The 22,879-nt window shown below is 54.8% G+C and overlaps 1 protein-coding gene across 5 annotated transcripts in view, besides 5 other annotated features; it reads right to left on the reverse strand.

Annotated features, from left to right (window-relative positions):
* Window positions 6,987–7,829: an enhancer, noted in NCBI's record as "H3K27ac-H3K4me1 hESC enhancer chr1:16440794-16441636 (GRCh37/hg19 assembly coordinates)". NCBI's record gives its function as "activates a minimal SCP1, AML or CMV promoter by ChIP-STARR-seq in primed H9 embryonic stem cells {active_cell/tissue: H9 hESC(primed)}" and the evidence as "EXISTENCE:reporter gene assay evidence [ECO:0000049][PMID:30033119]".
* Window positions 8,671–9,512: an enhancer, noted in NCBI's record as "H3K27ac-H3K4me1 hESC enhancer chr1:16442478-16443319 (GRCh37/hg19 assembly coordinates)". NCBI's record gives its function as "activates a minimal SCP1, AML or CMV promoter by ChIP-STARR-seq in primed H9 embryonic stem cells {active_cell/tissue: H9 hESC(primed)}" and the evidence as "EXISTENCE:reporter gene assay evidence [ECO:0000049][PMID:30033119]".
* Window positions 10,848–11,521: an enhancer, noted in NCBI's record as "H3K4me1 hESC enhancer chr1:16444655-16445328 (GRCh37/hg19 assembly coordinates)". NCBI's record gives its function as "activates a minimal SCP1, AML or CMV promoter by ChIP-STARR-seq in primed H9 embryonic stem cells {active_cell/tissue: H9 hESC(primed)}" and the evidence as "EXISTENCE:reporter gene assay evidence [ECO:0000049][PMID:30033119]".
* Window positions 12,793–13,349: an enhancer, noted in NCBI's record as "H3K4me1 hESC enhancer chr1:16446600-16447156 (GRCh37/hg19 assembly coordinates)". NCBI's record gives its function as "activates a minimal SCP1, AML or CMV promoter by ChIP-STARR-seq in primed H9 embryonic stem cells {active_cell/tissue: H9 hESC(primed)}" and the evidence as "EXISTENCE:reporter gene assay evidence [ECO:0000049][PMID:30033119]".
* Window positions 15,284–15,963: an enhancer, noted in NCBI's record as "H3K27ac-H3K4me1 hESC enhancer chr1:16449091-16449770 (GRCh37/hg19 assembly coordinates)". NCBI's record gives its function as "activates a minimal SCP1, AML or CMV promoter by ChIP-STARR-seq in naive H9 embryonic stem cells {active_cell/tissue: H9 hESC(naive)}" and the evidence as "EXISTENCE:reporter gene assay evidence [ECO:0000049][PMID:30033119]".
* EPHA2 (EPH receptor A2) overlaps window positions 17,025–22,879 on the reverse strand; it is a 31,733-nt gene continuing 25,878 nt past the window's right edge. For all 5 annotated transcript variants that reach the window (NM_001329090.2, NM_004431.5, XM_047448272.1 and 2 more), the window contains 2 exons: window positions 22,122–22,277; window positions 17,025–18,008 (listed from right to left, as the gene is read on the reverse strand). In NM_001329090.2, the coding sequence (NP_001316019.1) occupies window positions 17,903–18,008; window positions 22,122–22,277 (262 nt within the window). In that variant the 3' untranslated portion in view covers window positions 17,025–17,902. The remainder of the gene's footprint in view (window positions 18,009–22,121; window positions 22,278–22,879) is intronic.

Here is a 22,879-nt window from a genome sequence, read left to right on the forward strand (position 1 = left end):
TATAAAATCAACGTATGGTTCTCTTGGTCCCTGTTTCATAGCACTAAAAGAAGGGTATTGTTCCCGACCTGAAGTGATTTTTTTCCCAAGCTCTAATGCACACTCCTCCAAGCTGTTCTATGGCATCATCCTGCATGACAAGTTGTACATCTAAACCAGCCCAGCCGCCAACCCCCAAAAGTTGGTCTGCAGTTATATTAATTTGAGGTTGGACCTGGGCATTGCAAGCAGCCTGAATGGAAGCTTCATCTGCCCACCAAGTTTTAAATTGTAAGAACTGAGCAGGAGTTAGACAAGCTCGAGTAAGAGTGTCCCAGTCAGTAGGAATCATCCGACTGGAAACAGCAACATTCTTTAACAGCCCCATTACAAAAGGAGAACCTGGTCCATACTGATTTACAGCTTGTTTAAGTTTTTTGAGTAATTTAAAAGGAAAAGGCTCAAATGTAGCTATAATATTTCCCTGTTGATCTGGGGGGTGTATTCTAACAGAGAACTGCCAAGCCTCTAAATCACCCTCTCGTCTAACTTGCTGAATTCCTGCCTGAATAGAACTAAGAGCAGTCACTTGAGGTGCTGCTCAAACAGTCACTGGGGCAACTACTTTTTGCCCAGTGTCCTCTGGAAAAGAAAGATCAGGAGGGTCTTTTTCTTCCAAATAATAAGGAGGGGGTGCAGAAGGGTAAGGATGAACCTCTCCTTCCTTTGCCGTTTAGCTTTAGCTGGTAAATAAACATGCTCTGTAACCTCTTCTGTTACTTCGCCATACTCTCCTTCCTCCTCATCATCAGTGTGAAAAAGTTCCAAGGTGGAACGAACCACACCCCACACTTGTACCACTGTTACCCTGATGCTTCCGAGCTCCCCTTCTTACTCACCACGGGGATTGCTTTAAGAGTACTCGGGTGTCCTCCAGTTAGTTTTCCATTTCAACCATCGCTCTGGTGACCCTTCGACCTGGATTCGAGCCCCATGTTGGGCACCACTTGCTGAGACCAGCTCGGTCCGGGAGAGCCTAACCCAGTGGCGCTAGAGGAATTAAAGACACACACACAGAAATATAGAGGTGTGAAGCGGGAAATCAGGGGTCTCACAGCCTTCAGAGCTGAAAGCCCCGAACAGAGATTTACCCATGTATTTATTAACTACAAGCCAGCCATTAGCATTGTTTCTATAGATACTAAATTAACTAAAAATATCCCTTATGGGAAAAGAAGGGATGGGCCAAATTAAAGGGATATATTGGGCTAGTTAACTGCAGCAGGAGCATGTCCTTAAGCCACAGATCGCTCATGCTATTGTTTGTGGCTTAAGAATGCCTTTAAGCGGTTTTCTGCCCTGGGCGGGCCAAGTGTTCCTTGCCCTCATTCCAGTAAACACACAACCTTCCAGCATGGGCTTTATGGCCATCATGAACATGTCACAGTGCTGCAGAGATTTTGTTTATGGCCAGTTTTGGGGCCAGTTTATGGCCAGATTTTGGGGGGCCTGCTCCCAACACTGTTGTGTATATTTTAAAAGGATGAATATTATGGAATGTGAATTATATCTCAATTTTATAAAAATCCTCAGAGATGATGCTAGCTAATAGGAATAATGGCTCACAGGCCGGGTGCAGTGGCTCACGCCTGTAATCCCAGCACTTTGGGAGGTCAAGGCAGGCAGATCACTTGAGGCCAGGAGTTTGAGACCAGCCTGGCCAATATGGTGGCCCCCAGTAAAGAACAGCAACCAAAATGGGGGAGGGGTCACAGTAGGGACATCAGGAAGTGCTCACCAGGAAGCTGTGGGTGCAAACTGGGCAGCCCTTTCTTTCTGAGATGGGGAGGAGCTTGGAAGTTGGCCCAGAGCTGTTTGCTGACCCCGTTCCCAGCCAGAAGGCCCCTGCCAGCCCAGAGCCCACAGACTATCCCCTTTCATCCCCTTCTGCCCCTCTGCCTGGCATTGGTATCTCCGTGACTCTCCCACCAGCTGCACGGTCCTGTCCCAGTCTCCCCAAAACTTTTTTTTTTTTTTTAGAGACAAGGTCTTGCTCTGTTGCCCAGGCTGGAGTGCAGTGGCATGGTCATAGCTCACTGCAGGCTTGAACTCCTGGCCTCAAGGGACAGCAAGACAAGGACAGGAAAAGAAGTTTTGGGGAGGCTACACATGGAGCCTCATACTTGTAATCCCAGTGCTTTGGGAGGCTGAGATGGGAGGATTGCTTGAGTCCAGGAGTTTGAGGCTAGCCTTGGGGAGAGTGGGGCCCTCCTTAGCTACTCCAGGTCCCCGTGCAGGACTTAGCACAGCCCTCAGACTCACTCCAGTGCTCAACCTACCCTGCTCCACCCAGGGGGCATGAGGAAGGGGCCTGCTTCTTTCCAGGCCTCTCCTGCTCAGCTCTGGGTCTGGAGGAGGGCAGGGCTGTCACAAGCTGCTGTATCCAGTGCCTGGGAGAGTCAGCAGTGACTCAGTGGTTGTAGCCCCACTGAGGTGACTAAGACCTGGGGCTCCCTCCCTACACCTGGATCCCCAAGTCTCCTCATTGTAGGGACCTGCCAACAAGAGCCTTAGCTCCCTGCTGATCTGGAGTGAAGAGGCCCCCCCTTCTTTCTGGAAGCCACAGCTCTGCTGAGAACAGAGCTTCAGGCCCAGAGTGGGGAGGCTTTTCCAGGGAGAGGGAGGGACAGGGGCCTGGGTTGCAGGACGTGCTTTCTGGTGGCGAGACATATATTCAACTCTCTGTGGTGGTTAGAGAGTGAACCTGGTGCTGTGTGGTGGTTAGGGAGTGAACCTGGAGTCAGCCCGCCTGGGCATAAATCCCACCTCAGGCATTGACTAGCTGTCACTTTGGGCAAATGACTTGCTGTCTCTGAACCTCAGTTTCCCCATCTGTGAAATGAGCACAACTACAGTGCATGCCTCACAGGACTGAAACTAGTTAACAAGCAAAGTCTCCTAAGCAAAGCTTCCTGGCTGTTCTAAGTGAGGTCTCAATCGTGTCACTCAATACTGTGTGTGCGGGTACTGCCGAGAGCCAAAGTCCCTGGCCATCATGGAGCTCAGAGCCAAGTGGAGGGTAGACAAACTGTAAATAAGGATCTAAATGAATTAACAAGATTCTCACGATGTGGGGATGAGTGCTGCAAAGGAAAGAACCAGAGGTTTGGGATAGAGAGTGCAGGCAGGCTGGGGGTATCAGGAAAACCGCTCTGAGGAGGGGATTTTGAGCAGATTCTCAAAAAATAGGAAGGAAGCAGCTGTGTGATGATCTGCGGGGAAGGGCATACCGGCCAAAGGTAACAGCAAGTGCAAAGGCCCTGAGGCAGAAATGAACATGCCATGCATGACACGTGCTAGGAACAAAAGAAAGGTGAGTGCGCCAGAAAATTCTCTGTTGCAGAACGATTATAGCTTCCTTGGCCTCTGCCCATCAGATACCAGCAGTGACATCCCTCCAACTGTAACAAAGAAAAGTGTCTCCAGATAGAGCCAAATGTCCCCTGGGTGGTTGGTGGGGTGGGTTATTGCCCCTGGCTGAAGACCACAGGGTTGGGGAGAGCATGGATAATAAGGTGGGCAGGTCATAGGGCCAGTGGGGCCTGGCAAGCTCCTTCCAGGGGTCAGAACATGGGAAGATCAAAGAGGGTCGGGGACGTGACTGAGGAGAAGGGGACACCTCACCCTTGCCCTAGCCCTGCCCAGATGGGGGCTCTGTACTGGCCTCCCCTCCACTGCAGCTCCTTTTGAAGGGCCCCCAGGGCTCCCTCCCCGATCCACTCCAAGCCTGGGGGGCCACCCAGGGGCCAACCCTGGCCCCCCCTGAGCCTTTGCTCCCTAGGTAGACCCCCGCTGGGATGCAGGTATCGGGGTCTCCAGAAACTGCCCTCAACCCGAAATAAAAATAACCATAAAGGGTCCTCCCTCCATCTCCCACTCAGGGTAGGGGAGTCGGGAAGCCCCTTCAACTGAACAGCTGCCCTCCCCTCTGGAGGCCCATCTTCCCTCTTCTCAGCTCTCTGGGTCTCTGGATCCCTCTTTCTCAAACTTTTTATTTTTTGAGACAGGGTCTCATTCTGAATCACAGCTCACTGCAGCCTGGAACTCCCAGGCTCAAGCAATCTTCCCACCTCAGCCTCCAGAGTAGCTGAGACTACAGGCACGTACTCTTTAAAACTATTTTTGGTAGAGACAGGGTCTTACTCTGTTACCCAGGCTGGTCTCGAACTCCTGTGCTCCAGTGATCCTCCCGCCTTAGCCTCCCAAAGTGCTGGGATTACAGGCATGAGCCACTGTGTCTGGCACCCCCTCTCTCAAACATGCTCTCTGTGGGCCTCTCTTGGGCCTCTCCTTGTCTCCCACCTTATCTGCCCCCTTATCCTCCATCATCCTGTCTGCCTGTCTGTCTGTCTGCTTCACCCCTACCTCGTCCCCTGCCCGGTCCTTGGCTGCATCTGTCCTCTCTGCCTTGATCTCTTTCCCTCCCTCAGCCTCAGTCTTGGTCTCTCCAGCCTCATCACCCACTGCCCCCCTTCCCGAGTCTGTCTCTCTCCCTCAGTGTCTCCAGTGGTTTGGACAAGCTCAGCTCCCTTCTGCCCAGATGACCTCATTCCCCACCACGTGCACACACACACACACACACACTCACTGTCACACACAAATCCACACAAAAGCACACACTCCCACAAAGACACAGTGACACATACACTCATATACATATGGAAACACACTTACAGGCGCACACGCCCAGGGACACCAACACACACTCTCATATGCTCAGACCCGTGCACAGGGGTCCCTGGCTGGGTTTCTCTGAATCTGACGTGGCCCTGCCCACGGTTGGCCTCCGTGCAGGCTTGGCGCATCTAGTCAGGTCCCAGGGAGGAGTGAGCAGAACCACAGCAGGCAGCCCAGGCAGGGCTTGCGGAAATCAAGCTCTCTGCTCAGACACACTCGGCCCACTCCCTCTTGCCAGCCTCCCTCCCATCTCCCCCTGGGGCTGGGGGTTACTCATGGCTCAGGGTCCCCTAACCCTGCCCCAGGTGGACGGGCCATCTCCTCTGCCCCCACAAGCTAGTCTGCCTTCTGCAAAGGCAGCCAGCCCTGGCCAGAGACCCAGAGACACGGGTCCAGCCAGCTCAGCCACCATCACTCTGGGAGACCTTGGGCACATGCCTCAGTTTCTTCCTCTGTCAACAGGAACCTTTACATCGGTTCTGCAGAATTGCTGGCACAAAGCGGGCACTGGACAGTGACAGGTATGAAGATTCTGTGGACAGCCTCCCACCCTCCTCTAGGCTCTTGGGCCTCCCTAGTCTCCCTCTGAGGTTGGCTCCTGCTGGCAGCCTGTCTCCAGGAGAACTTCCCGGCAGACTTGGGGGGTCAGAGGGAAGGGGGAGCCGACCTCCTGCCTTCTAATTTAGATTCCTGGGTTTATGGCAGGAAGCGCAGCAAGGCTGACACTGTAATTAAGGCGATTCCTGAGGCTGCGGGAGGAGGCAGGCAGAGGAGCCCACCACAGGGCTGGGCCCCCACTTCTTTCCTCCCTCTGCCAGAAGCCCCAACCTCAGAGCTTCAACAGGCTCCTCTGCCTTAGAGCCCAGGCTCTGGAACTCCACTTTGCATCCCAGGAAACCAGAGATGGGCAGCTGCATCCCAAGGGTCACACAGCACACGATGGCACGTGCCTGAGCCACCCCTGGGGGCCTCCCTCTGCCAACTGTGGTCCAGCTGGGGGTGCAGAGAGAGCCCAGATACATGGCTTCTTTGTTCCATCCACCCCGGATCCCAGGTCCCTCTTCTCTGAGTCCCCCTCCCCCTGCATTCCTGAGGTGTCTGGGCAGAGTCCGGCAGGGCTGTGGCAGGAGGGGCAGCTCCCCCACTCAGGGGTCAAGGCCAGGGCAGCAGCCGGGCCTGAGCACCGAGCAGTCTCCAGCTGAGGCCTGGGGCTGTGCTGGGTCTGTAGTGCCCAGGGGGAGACTTGGGGGCTCACTGTCCCCCTCCCTACCCATGGACTGGAGCTTTAATTCTCACTCTGCTCCTCTGGGTGACCCTGGGCCTCTCTTCTTGGAGTCTCAGTGTTCTCATCTATACAAAGGGTGCCACCATCACCGGGGAGGCCAGTTCTCCTTCCTGCCCTGGGCTGAGCTGGTGGTGCGGCCCCACCAGAGCACTTAGGTGGCCTTCACCAGCCTTCCCTGATTCTGGTCCGTGCCCAGTCAGGCTCTGTGGCCTTGGGCAACCCCTGCTCTCTGGGCCTCCACACCTTCTTTAGTAAAAATGAGGGGCTTGGACAGAGTCAGGGTCTCCCACTCCGGAGTTTCTCAAGCCAATACTGATCCAAAAAATCAGTGACAGGCTGGGTGCAGTGGCACACACCTGTAATCCCAGCACTTTGGGAGGCCGAGGTGGGCAGATCGCTTGAGGTCAGGAGTTCCAGACCATCCTCGCCAACACGGTGAAACCCCATCTCTACTAAAAGTACAAAAATTAGCCGGGCGTGGTGTTGCATGCCTGTAATCCCAGCTACTGGGGAGGCTGAGGCAGGAGAATTGCTTGAGGTGGAGGTTGCAGTGAGCTGAGATCGCGCCACTGCCCTCTAGCCTCGGTAATAGAGCGAGACTCGTCTCAAAAAAAAAAAAGATCTAGCCTAGGCCAGGTGCGTTTTCTCATGCCTATAATCCCAGCACTTTGGGAGGCCAGGGCAGGTGGATCACTTGAGGCCAGGAGTTTGAGACCAGCCTGGCCAACATGGTGAAACCCCATCTCTACTAAAAATACAAAAATTAACCGGATGTGGTGGTGCACGCCTATAGTCCCAGCTACTCTGGAGGCTGAGGCATGAGAATCACCTGAATCCAGGAGGTGAAGGTTGCAATGAGCCAAGGTGACAGAGTGAGATTCCATCTCAAGAAAAAAAAAAAAAGTAGGGCCAGGCGCGGTGGCTCACGCATGTAATCCCAGCACTTTGGGAGGCCAAGGCGGGTGGATCACGAGGTCAAGAGATGGAGACCATCCTGGCCAACTTGATGAAACCCCGTCTCTACTAAAAATACAAAAATTAGCCAGGCGTGGTGGCGGGCGCCTGTAATCCCAGCTACTCAGGAGGCTGAGTCAGGAGAATCGCTGGAATCCGGGAGGCAGAGGTTGCAGTGAGCCAAGATCACGCTACTGCACTCCAGCCTGGCAAAAGAGTGAGACTCCATCTCAAAAATAATAATAATAATAATAATAATCAGGGACAGGCGTAGGTGGGCACTGCCCACGTGGTTCTCCATGGGCCCCTCTCGGTTCCCAGCCAGCTGGGGACACCTTTGTCCTAGACTGCTTTGATTGTGACCAACCCAAGGGCCGGGCTGTTTGGGGAGCCAGGGCTGCATGCCTTCGCATGTGCATGTATGTAGTGGGGCATGTGAAGGTGGGGGAACAGTGCTGAGGAGGGTGGTGGTGCTCCCACCCCATAAAGGGCCATGGCTGCCTCTCGGGCTCTGCCTGGGCTCCACAGAGTGAACACTGGGGTCTGGGTCCTGACAGTAGATATGGAACAAGGCAGAGGCGGGAGGGGTGCCAGGCATTCCTCCAGCTGGGGAGAAAGGGGGCTTTGTTGCCCGAAACTGAGCCGCCCCCGGTCTCCTTGCATGCCCAGGCACTCGGCCAAAGATAGAGAAGCTCACACCATACAGGCGGGTGTGCCGAGGCCTCTCCTGAAACTTTGGCCTCCCCCGGCCCGGGCGCCCATGGTCAGTCGCTCTCTCCTCCCAGCCTAGGGCCCAGACAGGTCCATTAAAGGGTGCCGATGCCAGCCTGGAAGGGGGCTTGGCTGGGGACTGGAGTCCAAGGAGAGACAGAGGTTGGAGTGGTTGGAGTGTCAGGATTAGGGAAATACCTGCACCCCAGCTGAGCGTGGGGCGAGGTGTGAGTAGCATTCTGGATGCCCACACACTCTCATCCGGACTCCCCCACACCCCGTAAGGGAGGTACTGTCAGGCCCATTTTACAGACGAGTAAACAGAGGCTCAGCAAAGGGAGGACATGCAAGTTAGTGGCAGAGGAGGACCTGCAAATCAGTCCTCTGACCCCAAAGCTCCAACCTTGGAGACTCAGGGACACCTGGGAGAAGGAGGGGGCTGCCAAGTTGTCCCCAAGCTGTCCCCATGAGAGGCTTCCCTCTCTAAGTGCCTGTACAGAGCAGCCAGGCCTGGGGCTGGTGCCAGCCACTACCTTCCAGGGTTGTGAGATTAAATGACCCCCACACAGACCAGTGTAGCTCTCAGTAGATGTTTAATAAGTGCTCATTGGTGCCCTGGGTGACAAGTCCCTGTCTTTCTCTAGGCCTCTGTCCCCCACCTGTGCCCTGAGGTTGCTTCCCCCAGGCCTGTCTTTCAGGGATTGGGGTCTTCTTATCTTCCAGCAGACTTGTGGCCTCCTTCTCCTGGCCCCCTCCTCCTCCCGCTGGGAGGCCCCCCAGGGCTCTCCTCCTCACCCCACAGGTTCTGCTTGCAGCCTCCTCTGCCTGGGATCTGGCCCTAGATTTGACAGTGGCGCGGGCAGGAGGCAGGGGACCTGGAGCTCCTTTATCTCTGTGGTCTCCCTCGTGGGGGACTGGGGGGCAGGAGGGCTGGGGCATGGAGACAGCCACGGGGGTGGCAGCAGGGTCTCCAGTCTGACCTGGAGGCCCAGCTGGTGGGGGCGGGGGGAGGCGGCTCTGGAATGCACAACCTCTTGCCGTCCCCTCCCTCAGACATGGGTAAAACACAAAGCGCCTTCCTTTGTCCCCAGCCCGTGCTTAATAGGATTGGAGGCTGGGGGTGGGGAGCAGGCCTCTGGTGGGGGACACCCTCCTGCGCAGCCACAATGGGGCCCTGTGACATCACGCTGCCCCCTGCTGTGATGTCAGAGGCCGCCACAATGGACCTTCCCAGCCGCCCAGACTGCGGGTGGGACAGATGGCTGGGGCGGGGGTCGTGGGGGCAGGGCCAGGACACCTGCGTCCTCGGTGGCTCAGCCCCACCGGCCGTGGTTCTGAAGAGCAGGCCGGCAGGGCCAGGCAGCATTGGCTGCAATGCCACTAAGGACAGGCAAATAAATCGACTTTTCTTTGGTGTGAGTCAACACTTAGACCGTTTTTTTAAAAGAGGACAGCGCCGTTTTGAAAAAATTAAAAGTTGAGATATTCTTGCCTTTTATCCTGGCTCACCACCACCACCTGTCAGTTAAGGGGCATTGAGCGGCTTCCTGGTGCCCACCCTTAGGATAAAAATAAAATCCTCAGCACAGCAACAAGGCTCAGACCCTGCCCACCCCTCCAGTCTTGTCCCTACCTGCCACCCGGCCCCCTGCCCTCTGCCTTCAGCCACACTGGCCTTCCTTCAGCTTCTGAGCCAAACAGTTGCTGTTCCCTAGCCTTGGAATAACCTTCATTCTTCCCTACCGTTTCTTCCTTCAGATCTCAGCTTGGATACCGCCTCCTCCAGGAAGCCTTTCTGACTCTCCACAGGCTGAGCACGTTGTTCAGTTCCTGGGTCCCACAGCCCCCACGCCTGTCATATCACATTTATCTTTTGAATATTCTCTCCAGCGACTAGGAGTTCTGTGACGGTGCGGCCTGGGATCTCCCACCCCTTGCTGTCTCCCCAGCATGGAGCAGCATTCATTGAGTCCATTGATTCCTTCATCAAATATGTGGGGGTACCCACCGGGTGTCAGGTCTGGGGATCTAAGGGAAAAACAGGCCTGTCCCCACCCTCATGGAGCTGGCCACTGAGTGGGAGACAGGGGTCAGTGATAGAAAAGTATCTCACCACGTGGGACCACAGAAGCAAGGTCAAAAGCGGCACAGATGAAACATGCCTCTATGTGGTAGAGGTTGGATGCACCTTTAAGATGGGTGATGGGAGGCGGGACGCGGTGGCTCAAGCCTGTAATCCCAGCACTTTAGGAGGCCCAGGCAGGCGGATCACGAGGTCAGGAGTTCGAGGCCAGCCCAACCAACATGGTGAAACCCCGTCTCTACTAAAAAATACAAAAATTAGCTGGGCGTGGGGGCGCACGCCTATAATCCCTACTCAGGAGGCTGAGGCAGGAGAATCACTTGAACCCAGGAGGCAGAAGTTGCAGTGAGCCAAGATCGCGCCACTGCACTCTAGCCTGGCAATAGAGTGAGACTCCCTCTCAAAAAAAAAAAAAAAAAAATGAGTGATGGGGGCACCCTCTTCCAGGGTGTTACTCACGAGCTGGTAAGATCGTGCTGAGGATGTGGGGAAGAGCTCCAGGCAGTGGGTGGCATTCAGCAGACCTCAAGAATCTTGTGTAGAGACTGAGTCAGATGTGATAAAATGGAAAAAATAAAAAACAACAACAAAAAGAATCTTGTAAAATAAAAGGAGGGTCGAGAGAAAAGCACAAGGAGACCTAGGCTCACTCACTGGGAAATTCACCGATAGCTTAGAGCAAAGCCCTGTGGCAAGGGGCTGGGCTCGAACCTTGGCGCTGCCACTTGCTAGCTGTGGAGCTCTGGGCAAACCCTTCACTTCTCTGCGCTTCATGATAGGGTGACTGGATCAATTATTGTCCACTTAAAGACAGAAGGCGAAAGGGGGAGCTATTACAACCAATTATACCAGGACAACAGGCCAAAGCCAGGACTGTCCTGGACAGACGGGAGATATGGCCCCCAGCTTATGGGGCAGTAGTAGGACTAGGTCACAGAGTTTTTGGGAGGATTAAATGAGTTAATCCTTGGGAAACACTTTGAACAGTGGCAGCACATGCAATGCGCTTAATAATTATTAGCTATTGGCATTTTATTACATACGCGTGCACACACACACACACACACACACACAAGCTCAGAGGAGAGGGCCAGACAGACACACCTGAGTGTCATTCAAGCCCTCTGTGATCCACAGCCGGCCACGATAGGAGCCTGAGGGAGGCAGGGTTAATGTGTCCCCATTGCCTGGCAGCAGAGCGGGCTCTGCAAAAGTCTCTCTCTCTTTTTTTTGAAATGGAGACTCGCTCTTGTTGCCCAGGCTGGAGTGCAGTGACATGATCTTGGCTCACTGTAACCTCCACCTCCTGGGTTCAAGCGATTCTCCGATTCTCCTACCGCAGCCTCCTGAGTAGCTACAATTACAGGCATGCGCCTCCACGCCCAGCTAACTTTTGTATTTTTAGTGGAGACAATGTTTCACCATGTTGGCCAGGCTGGTCTCGAACTCCCCACCTCAGAAGATCCACCCACCTCGGCCTCCCAAAGTGCTGGGATTACAGACGTAACCCACCACACCTGGCCTGCAAAGGTCTCTTGGAAAATGGGTGATTTGATTTGAGCCTGGAAGGGTGGGTGTATTTTCCACAGACAGAAATAGGGAGGGATGTGTGCGGGGGTGGGCGAGGGCTCATGGGGAACTGAGGGCAGGTCCGGGAGTCTAGACCGCATTAGAGTACAGGGGAGGGGTGCAGAGTCTGGGGAAGTGTGTCCTGTGCCCAGATGCTGGGATTGGTTGGCCGGGCCCATGAGGCCTGGTCCTGGGGGAAAGGCCCCTCCGCCCAGCAGGAGACCTGATCATGCAGCCGCCTGCTCTGCCAGCCCAGTGTGGAAGCTGCATCCATCCATCCATCAGGCTGCTGAGGCCGTGGGGAATGTGATGAGGCTGCTGAAATGGGGCCCGGGCCCAGCAGGAGAAAGGGGGCCCCCACCCCAGGCAGGGGTGGGATGTGGCTGCAGCTTCCCAGAAACTGGGTCTGGTTCTGCCGACAGAGACTGGCTGACGGTTTGGACTGGAAAGCCAGACCCAGAGGGCTGGAGTGGGGCCTGCTGGCCGGGCTACCTGGGGCTGCCCAGGGCTGCCTGGGGAGAGGGTGCCAGGAGTGGGGAGGGGGCAACTCTGTGGTGGGGGCAGGGGCCCCTCATCTCAGCCAGGACAGACTTCCTGGAGCCTTCCTCACTACAGACGGACAAACTGAGCCCCCGTGACACAAGGGACATGCCCAGGAGTCCACAGCCAAGTCAATAGTAGGCGCCCAACAGAACCTCTGTCTTCCCTTCCCAGTCCAAGGGTCTTCCTGCCGTTTCCTGAAAAGAACCCCAAGGTCCCCAAATGTCACCGAGCAGCAGGCAGTGGGATGAGCTGACTCTTGTCTCCTATGCCGCTTTGTCACCTCCTAGCTGTGGGAACTTGGTCTGATTACTGTAACCTCGCTGAGCCCCAGGGTCCCCAAAATGGGGATAAATGTATGCCCCTCAGGGTCATTGTGACCCTTGCATAAGACGGTGTGGGTCTTGGGCTGGGCATGATCACTGGCATGGCACACTCACTGGCACCGTGGCAAGTTAAAACCGTGTCGCCAGGCACCAGCCTTAGATTTCCTAATTAATTAGCAACTCCTCTAGGAACAGGCAATGCTAGAGGAACGCCCACCACCTACAATGGTAGGTGTTCAGAAACATTCAACTGCTTCTCCTTACCAGCTTTTGTGGTCCCTCCCGGCCAGCCAGAGGGAGCCCAGGACCATTGCACAGCACTCACCACATTCCCAAAACCCATATCCAGCTCCACAGGGCTCTTGGATCTCAAAAGCCCAGTCCTTGTCCCCCACAGTTCATTTGTTTATTGAACAAATGTTTATTGAGGGCCTACTGGGTACCAGACATAGTTCCGGGGAGGGACGATGCAGGCGCGATGCACAGAATGGGCAAAGGCACAGAGGGCCGGAGCTAAGGACTCAAGCACTTCCCGTACACATTCATTTGCCCCCTGTTCTAGCAGCATCTATGGTGCCCAAGGCCCCATCCCAGGCCCTGGGCTGCAGCTGGAGCTGAGGGGGTGTGAATGGGGAGGCGAGCAGAGAGCTTGCCTGTCCCTCCAGAATTTGCTAATTAATTAGGAAATCTCGGGCTGGTGCCTGGCGACACGATTTTAACTTGCCATGCAGACTGGGAGCAGCAGAGAAAGCAGGCATCTCCCTACCCAATGCCCCAGTCACCACTGCCTTCACCTCCTTCAGGGCTTTGCTGGATGCATCAAAGGCCCACCAAGGTCCCTGCAGCTCAGAACCCAGAAAGGGCTGCAGGCCCACTTCTCAGCAGAGAAGGCTAAAATCAGAGATGAAGGTTCTGCTAGGGGTGGGAATGAGGGCAGGGCTGCTGTCCTACAGCTGCTCCTGACACAACAGCCAGGGGTTAGGGTGGCATAGCAGATGGAGGAATCTTGTCTTGGTCAAATGGGGCCCAGATGTTGGAGGGGAGACTCAAGCCCCACCCACAGAGGTCTGGAGTCAGAGCCAGGCTCTTCTGGGACACTTCTTCCTCCGCCTGGTGGACTCTCACTTGACCTCCACCTCAGCTTGGATGGCTCCTCCTCCAAGCAGCCTGCCTGGACTTTCTAGGCTGGGTCAAGTGCCCCTCCCCCATCCCTGCCCCAACCTCTGGCTCCTGTAACACCCAGCTCTGCCCCTTCTTAGCCTGGGTCCTACTCTATTACCATTGCTGCCCCCACCAGACTGAGTCCCATGAGGGCAGACAGGGCCCTTATCCATCTTTGTGACCTTGTGCCCAGCCTGGCATAGAGCAGGAACTGGCCACTGAGAGAAGGGACAGAGCAGCAAACTATCTAGATACCTGGGGTGTGGGATGTGGTGGCATTTGGAGACCATGGGCAGGTTATGTTGCCTCAGTTTCCCCAGAACCAGTGCTTCTCAGACCTTATCTAGGGAAGTGTCCATGATGGCAGAGAGGGGAGAGGGCGGCTCTGGCCAGTTATGTAACCTCCCTCCCCTCGGTGTTCAAATCTGTAAAATGGGATATTAATAGCATCTACCTTGAAGGACTGTTGGAAGAATGAAATAAGTAAACACAGGCTAAGTGCTTAGAACAGTGGGTGGTGCCCAGAAAGCCTTGTGTAAGTGTTTGCTGATACCTGATCTTCAATTCAAGCTCAATGTTGGTTTGTTTGTTTTTTCTCTGATGATATTAACTTTGATCACTTGGTTACGGTGGTGTTTGCCAGGTTTCTCCACTGTAAAGTTACTTTTTGTTTTCTTTCTTATTTTTTTTAACCCTTTCTATACCTCCCTACTGCCTTTCTTTGGAAGGGTGTCCAGTCCGCAGTCCAGGCAGTGGGGAAGTAAGCTTTACCCACTAGAGGGAAAAGAATCCACCCCTTTGAAATTCATCTGTAAGGAAGATTTGTCTAGGCTCCCTCCACTTATTTATTTATTCAAGCATTTTTTTTTTTTTATTTTTTGAGATGAGGTCTCACTCTGTTGCCCAGGCTGAAGTGCAGTGGCACAATCTCGGCTCACTGCAACCTCCACCTCCCAGGCTCAGGCGATCCTCCCGTTTCATCCTCCTGAGTAGCTGGGACCATAGGCACGTGCCACCATGCCTGGTTAATTTTTTGTATTTTTGATAGAGACGGGGTTTCGCCATCTTGGCCAGGCTGATCTCAAACTCCTGAGCTCAAGCGATCCACCCACCTCGGCCTCTCAAAGTTTTGGGATTACAGGCGTGAGCTACTGCACCCAGCCTTTAATCATTTATTTATCTCAGTATAGACTCGTGAATATTTATTTTTGACTTTGGATTTAATCTAATACCTCATCGTTTTGTTGCTCAGCTTGTTCTAGGTTTAGGCCCTGGGAGTTCTTTAGGGCTGGCTCCTGTGTGTCTCTGGCACAGCCCCACCTGTTTATTTTTGAGCACTTCTTTACTCTCTGATACTCCAAGATGCTCCCAGCTCATCTTGTATTTTCCCTGCTTCAGCCCCAGAATCAGCCATTTCTCTAAGGAGCCCTGGTCCCTTTCATTGGAGAATGGTTTTTAGGAAGCAAGATGTGCGGGCTGGGTGTTCTTATTGCTACAGGGGTGTTCCTGCATCTAGGCCCTCTAGGAGACAGATCTGGATTTGCTTTAATTTAAAAATAAAGTTTCCCCTCCTGCCAATTGCAGGGTCCATTGGAGACTGCAGACAGCTGCTCACTGGGTTTTGAGCATCGGACCTGTCCGTGGCCCACAGGTTTATGGGTTCTCACATGCCCTTGGAAGGGTCTTATGTCCAGGACTTCAAGGGAGAGAGCACACGAGGCCACCTCCCCCCATGCTGAGCCACTTCCTGAGTTCATTCCTGCTCATCAGCAGGGCCATGGCTGAGTTGCTTTGGGAATGGGACTCAGGCCTGGTCTTGATGTGCCCTCATAGCCCAGATTTTTGTGGATTTGCAAGCTGCAGGCTTATTCCCTGCTGGGCCAACAGCTTTGTCAGTGGTAGCAACAGTAGCCATAGCCCAGCCACAGAGCTACAGTGGCCACCTGGGTCAGGCCAGGCCAGGGTCAGGCACCAGGAAGGCCTGACTCAGCCATCATGCCCAGCACACTCAGGTGGCCCAACACTAATGGGAGGAAGGCCCAGCCAGGTGCTCCCTGCACTCCCATAGCTCACCAACCCCAGCCGCACCTGACACAGTCAGGTGTCTCATGGATGCCCAGTGGGCCAGGACCCAGAGGGTGGCAGCTCTCCTGCAGCAGCAGGGGCCAGGGCAGAGCATGCCAGCTTTGAGACCCCAGGGCAGGCCGAACACCCTCTCGACTTTTGCCAGCGCCTCTCCTGTATCTCCCCAAAGCTCCAGGCTGAGTCAGGAGCTCTGGGTTGCAGACCTGCCTCTACCAGTGACAACAATCATGCCACTCCCTGCTTGAAACCTTCAATGACTCCTTATTGCCCTCAACTTGAAATCCCCACTCCTGGGCCTGCTTTACAAGGCCCTAGAGACTTCTCCAGCACCTCACGTCATGCCTTAATAACACCAAATTGCTTGTGGTTCCCTTGCACAACCATGTGGTTTCACGCCCCCGCGCCTCACTCTGCATCACCCTCCCTTGGCTTCGCTGGTTAATTCCTAGTAGTCCCTGAGGTCTCAGCTCTGGGACCACCTCCTCCAGGAAGTCTTCCTCCTGGGCCTCAGATCATCTCTGCTCCCTGGTTACGTTCCTGGTGACCTGTGTTTGACACCTTCCTAACCCCCACTATGAACGACCTCTGACATGCAGGGCTGCAACCCGGTAGAGTGGAGAAGGCTCAGGTTTGAAATTAGAACTCTGGTGCTGGGCGCAGTGGCTCACGCCTGTAATCCCAGCACTTTTGGAGGCAGAGGTGGGCAGATCACAAGGTCAAGTGATCAACACCATCTTGGCCAACATGGTGAAATCCCATCTCTACTAAAAATACAAAAATTAGCTGAGTGTGGTGGTGCGCGCCTATAGTCCCAGCTACTCGGGAGGCTGAGACAGGAGAATCGCTTGAACCCGGGAGGCAGAGGTTGCAGTGAGCCAAGATCGTGCCACTGCACTCCAGCCTGGCGACAGAGTGAGACTCCGTCTCAAAAAAAAGAAGAAAAAAAAAAGAAATTAGAACTCTGGCTTTTCTTGAGACTGCTGTGTGACTTTGGGCAAGTCGCTGCATGTCTCTGAGCCTCCATCTCCTCATCTATGAGAAAAGCATCCCACTGAGATTTCTGACCTTGCTTTCAATTCTGGCCTCTGCCCCTAACTTGCTGTGTGGCCTTGAACAAACCCAGTTGCTGGGCTCCAGCTTGGTTTTCCTTTTCTGTAAAATGGGGCCGCCCACAAAACTCATAACAAAGTGTTGAGGTTCCGACAAGCCGAAACCTGTGAAAAGCTTGTGTAAACCTCAGAGCTGTACATGGATGGTTGAAGGATCTATTTCGACAGCTCCGGGGAGCCGTGGGAGGGAAGCTGACGGCGGCTCTTGCTGTTCTCCTACCTCCCAGCCCTCCCGAAGACTCTGAGCAGCCTGGAGATCAAAGGTGATTGGGGCCTGCTGGCATGGAGGCCGGGCTCGGCAGAACCTGCTTCCCGGCCCCCTGCCCACCTCCCACCCACCCCTGCTCCCAGGGTTAAGTGACGTGTCTGCCTTGTGCACGAATCTCTGTTTAAACACTAGGGGTTTGGGGGGAACCCTCAGCCCCTCAACTCCCACCCAGGAAGCTCTGGGACCCCACTGCTTTTCCCAAGACTGAAAGCCAAGATCGGTTTGAATCATCTGCAACTTTATTCCAGAGCAGAAATAAGTCATTTTCTAACAATAAATATAAAAAAAATAATAAATTAAGATTCGAAAAAAATGTCCAACAAAACAAAATCTTTAACACTGACAGAATAGAAACTTATCCAAAAGGATGAGAGATGGGGCCGACTGGGGCATGGGCAGGACACTCCTGCAGCACCGGTCCCTGAGTCCCCAGCTCACGAATGTTTGACACCCTCTGTCCCCAGCCCTGGCGGGGCCCCCTGCCACACACACACATTCTCTCCACAAAGTACAAAATATATATTTAAAAACCTCAACACAACCAAGCATCTTGCAAAGGCCCAGGAAAGCAAGGGTTTGGCCAGTCAGGGATGAGGATGGGGCCCGAGGGTCTAAAGAAGGCACTAGAGGGACAGGGACCGCTTTGGGTCTCACCCAGTCAAGTTCACAGTCTGCCCTCTTAGTGTGAGGAAATGGGGCTTGAGGTACCCTGTTTACTTGGCGCTGGGCCAAGCCCTCCATCTCCTGAGATGGCCTCATGTGGGAGAAGGCGGAGGGAAGGTCGGCTTGGGAATATCCCATATGTCTGTCCGAAGGCTGTGGCGGGGCTCCTGCTCCAGGGATGCTGGGACGTGGCGGTGCCTGCTAAGTGCTCAGCTGTGTGCGTCTCGCAGGGAAAGAGGGCCCAGCCCAGCATCCCTGGTCATCTCCTCAGTTCAGGCCAGGGTGTCATCCGAGACCCCTCAGCGGAAGTTGCAGGGGGAGGAAAGAACTAGAAATAAATAAAGTCCCCAGTGGCCCAGCATGGCACAGCAGGGAGGCCACTCTGTTTCTTCAAGTATTCTTGGCCGATGGGGCTCCAGGCCCTGTCGAGGCTCAGATGGGGATCCCCACAGTGTTCACCTGGTCCTTGAGTCCCAGCAGGCTGTAGGCGATGCGCTTCTGGTGGCCGGGCAGCCGCACCCCAATCCTCTTGATGTCGCTGTGGGCCGGGAGGGAGAGAGGGAGAGTTAGGGGCTGGAGCAGGGGAGGGGGCCGGGCTGGGTGGGGACAGGACTCGGTGGGCGGCTGGGGAGGGGAGTGGAGGGAGGCAGAGGAGGAGGGTGGAGAGGGTGCCTTGGGGACCTGTAGGGCAAGAGAGCTCTGGTTAGGTAGGCCTGGGAGAAGGAGCCACAGCCTAGAAGCTTGCCAAGGTGGCCCACCATCAACAAAGTTAGGAAAACGACAGAAGCCTCAACTCTGTACGATGCTTTAAAAAAATAAAAATAAATCAAATCTTCTGAATTATCTGTGAGGCAGGTGCTCTTTTTCATCCCCATTTTGCAGATTAGAGAACTGAGGTCAGAGAGGTAAAGTGACTTGCCTGAAGTCACACAGCTAGGAGGTGGAAGAGCTGGGAATCAAACCAGCTATGAACAAATGCCTTCCCTCCCCTCACCCCTAGTCTGTTCCCAGTGCCCCCAGCTCAGGCCTCCTTCCCAGGAACTCTCTAGGGATGTCGCTCAAAGCCTCTCTGCCCAAGGTCTCTTCCCACCTGCTGCCTCATTTCTCCCTCACTCCTTCCAAGTTCCCACTGCTGATCATGAAGGAAGGACTTGGGAAATACTTGAAGGGTTAAACTTTGCGAGTCTTCATGGGTGAGGCTTGCGGGTCACCAGATCCAGTGACTAGGAAGATGTCTTCCCTTGGGGAAACCTCAGTTTCCTCCCGTGTAAAATGGGAGCTACTGTCCATCTGGAGGGCGAGAGACCTCAAAACCAGCAGCCGAGGGGGAAGGCAGCATCAGTACCAGATGGACAGATGTGCCCAGGAGCCCACAGCCCTGCTTTCCCACCCCCACAGGGTACACGCTCTCCTGGGGCCCCCTTCCATGCCCCTCCGTCCCCTCATGAAATCACTTATGCTCCCAGGAACCTGTGAGGAGGGCATTTATTACTCACTTTGGGAGTTTTCTCCTCCACCGTCCTCACCCACTAGCCCAAACCCATGAAAACACCCAAGTTTTTATGGGCCGACTTTTGGCTGTAAAGGGAGCTAATTATATGATGCAAGATCCTAGTTGCAGTTCTGCAGACATGACTTTCCCACAGGCTCCGGGAGCCCCGGCACAGGCGCAGAGCAGGGAAGGGCAGACCCAGGTGAGTTGGGGGGACTCCAGGACCTCCCGCAGAGGCTGGTGCTCCCACAGCAGCAGGAAGGCCGAGACATTTGGGACATTTGGGAGAACTTCCTACGCTACCTGCACAGGACGTTTCTAACCTATACAGTTGGAGGTGCTGAAAAAGCAGCAGTTTCCCACACACTTGAAGGTCTCAAATTGTGGTCCCTGGAAAAGCGCTCAGACCACGGTGAAGGAGACAGGACCCCCGGCCTGACCCCAGATTCACTCGATTTGCAGTTCCGCAGGTGGGGCAAGGAGTCTGCATTTGGTTGAATCCCAGAAGAAACCTGACATCCGGTTTAAAAACCAGTGGGTTGTAAGCTCCAGGAGGACAAGTGCTGAGACCTTGTCATCTGGGCCCATCACCCCCACAGCACCTGCTCCCGCCCCCACCCCTGCCCAGGGTCCAGGATAGGCCTGGCACATAGTAGGTCCCTAGGAAGTGTCTGCTGCATGAATGCATGAGCGAATGAATGCTTTAGCGGAGGTTGGGCCGTTGCTGGGCCACCTCTGGTCCCTCTTGCAAATGGTAGTGGTTAATCTCACAGGATGGGAGCACAGTTTGCTTTGGAGGCCCTGCGTAGAAAACTCCAAGGCCATATACTCGGTGAGCTCCTACTGTGTTCTGGCCCTGGGTGCAGGGAGACGGGAGTAAGAAATGGCTCCTGGAGCCTCACGTGTCAGATCATTCATTCATTCAGCAAGCATTCCTTCAGTGCCAAGCCTATGCCAAGGGCACTGGAGACCCTAAGATCTACAGCCTGTGCCCTCGACCCCCACACAGGATGCAAATGCTGTAGTCCCAGCTCTAGACAGAGCCTGGGGTTGGGCTATTTTTCTGGGGTGCAACATCCACGCCTTTCGTCAGCTGCTCACAAAACATCTGGGACCACTAGTCTAGCTAGAAACCCAACTGACTCCAAAATAGCACAAATGGAGAAGAGACAGTGGCTGTGGGACCCCAGGGGACCAGGCAGCTGGTCCCCTGGGAGGGAGTCAAGAAGGCAGGAGGCTGAGAAGGGGAGGAGGTGGGACACTGAAGCCTAAATCCTGATCCCATTGGGAAAGGCACGCATTCCCCTGCTACCAGCTCCAAGTCTCCCGTTGGGACCCATGGCGTGTGTAGACCCAGGCTTCAGGTTTTAAAAAGTCCTTTGAGATCCCCATTTATTTGGAAAGAGGCAGAGGGGAAGGAGGAGGCATGCAGGCCCCAGCTCTGAGCACCAGTGGCTGGTGGGAGGAGCGGGTGGTGGGTGGTGGGGGGCGCCGAATGACTTCCTGCCTTTATCCAGGCCCTTTCACAACAACGCGCACTGCAGCGCACACACACACAGCCTCCATCCATCCAAGACTGCCCCGTCCCTGCTCGTGGGAAAGGAATTGGCGAGGAGCACCCTGGGCTATTTAGGGAAGCTTCTAAGAACATGTGTTTCCCATAAGCACTTCTCCGTGCCCTCAGCTCTGGTCCCCAGAAGAGAGGCTGTGTTGTCCTTGGTGGGAGCCCCTGGAGGAGCAAAGGGTCTGGTGGATGTTCCCAGGAAAAAGGAGAAAAGGAGGGGGCATTTGCACAGTGCTAGGGGAGGAAAGCAAGGGAGTGGAGGAAAAGAGGAGAGCAATGAGGATTTAGCACCCACTGTATACCAGTCGTGTCATCTGCGCTGCACCCATGCAATCCCATCAAACTTGATCAAGGTCACCCGCTAGGAAGTGGCAGATGCGGGACTTGAACCCAGGTATGTGTGCAGAGCCCAAGCCTGTGGCCCTGCTGGGCTGGCGGGCAGCAAAAGACATCCTGTGATCCATCTCCCCTCCCTACGTGTCCCCGCCTCCCCTCTGGTCGGCTCTGTTCCTGCCTGCTTCCCATCACCGACTGTCCCCTGAGGGAGGCTATGGCCTTGGCCAGCAGGTTGGGAGCCCAGCTGAGCAATTTCCAAAGGCCCTAGAGAATGTTCATGAACAGGCTCAAATCCCAGAACTTCTGTGACCTAGAACCATGGGAGGCCCAGGTCATCCCCTCCATACGGTTCCCAAAACCTCCCAGCCTCCCGGTCTGTTCCCGCCATGATCTTTGACCATGCACAAGCTGGGTTGTTGAAACTGGCCACTATTTTTAGAGGCACAAAAGGCTAAGAGGATAGGGTCTCCCCCTTCCTGGGACAGGAGGAGGTGTCTGTGCCAAGGCCATGCCGGGAAAAGTCTCAATGCTGGAGTTGGGAAGGGGAGAAGAGCTGCCAAGGGGCAGCTTGACAAAGGGGCAAACCCAGGGCCAGCAGAGAGTAAGTGGCACTTCTCACCAGGTGGGACTGCAGGCTGAGAGCCAACCAAGTGGAGAGAGGTGCCCGGGGTAGGCCAGGGGTTCTCTCTCCTGGGCAGCAGTCAGGGCATCTTGGAGAAGACTGCCCCAAACTGGCTGTGTGACCTCAGGCAAGCCGGTAACATCTCAGCCTGTTTCTCTACCAATGACCTCTCCGATCCCTGCGCTCTGGGATCCCGACTGACTGGGCCTGGAATCCTGCTCTCCCCCTCATGGCTGTGGGACCCTGGGCAGGTCACTGCACTTCTCTGCATCTGTTTCTCACCTGCACCTGTTTCTCACCTGTTAACAGGACTCACCCCGCTGGGTTCTCATTCAAAGTGCTCAAGCAGAGACGGCACATAGCCCTCAGTAAACAGTAGCTACTGTTATGATTACGGTTACTATTATTTCCCCACTCTGGTAAAGGATGTAGGAAGAGGAGAGAGCTGAGAGTGGGCACCCAGAGCTGCCAGCTGCTGGCGGAGTTCTGCCCTTCTCTTCCAAGGAGCCTCTTCCCAGAAGAGAAAGAACAAAGAGAGGAGCATTGAGGGGCAGGGAAGAGGGCTGGGGGGGGCATGGAGGCAGCCTCTGGAGTGGGAGGCGGGAGGCGAGGGGGGACGGAAAGGGGCCTGACTTACTCGTTGGTCATCTGCACCACCTTCTCGATGGCAGTGTAGCCGGCCGCCATGAAGTGCTCCGTATACTGCTGCATCTTGATGGACTCCAGCCACTCGGACACCGTGCGGAAGGGCACCCCCTCCGAGCCGCTCGTGCTGGGGAGCCGGATAGACACGCTGCAACAGGAAGCACTGCAGGTGAGGGGCTGCAGCACCCAGTCCACCCTGGGCCCTGCACCTGCTGCTCCCTAACCTGGATGATTGACTCGGCTGCCCCGTGCCTCCGTCTCCTTATCTGGGCAACAGGGAAGCCCAGTCAAGTAGGGTTCAATGAGACCTCCTGGCACGTTGGGAGCGCTCAGCATCTGTAACTACTGCTGCCCCTCCACTCCTACTAACAGGACCACCACCAATAACTACCACATCATAAAATGCTACGAGCAGAGATTCCAGATCCTGAGGTCACAATCCCAGCCTGACCACTTCCAGCCATGTAAGATATTCAATCGCCCTGTGTCTCAGTTTCTTCTTCTACAAAATGAGGATCACTGGAGGACTCATCTCGTAGGTTGTTTAAATGAATGAAAACATATTAAGTGCTCACGCAGTGCCCTGCACACAGACACATAAGCTGGTTGCTTCTATTAGGATTTCCTGGGCCATCGTGTCCAGTCTAAGTCAAGTCCACACATAACCTCTTAGCCCCCAGCACCCCCCCTACCAGCTTCACCTGGGTGGCCACTCTACCGAAGTGGTTCAAGAGTCTGCAGAAGGAAAAT

The sequence above is a fragment of the Homo sapiens genome, chromosome 1, assembly GCF_000001405.40.
Source record: "Homo sapiens chromosome 1, GRCh38.p14 Primary Assembly".
In the NCBI taxonomy this organism is placed as follows: Eukaryota; Metazoa; Chordata; class Mammalia; order Primates; family Hominidae; genus Homo; species Homo sapiens.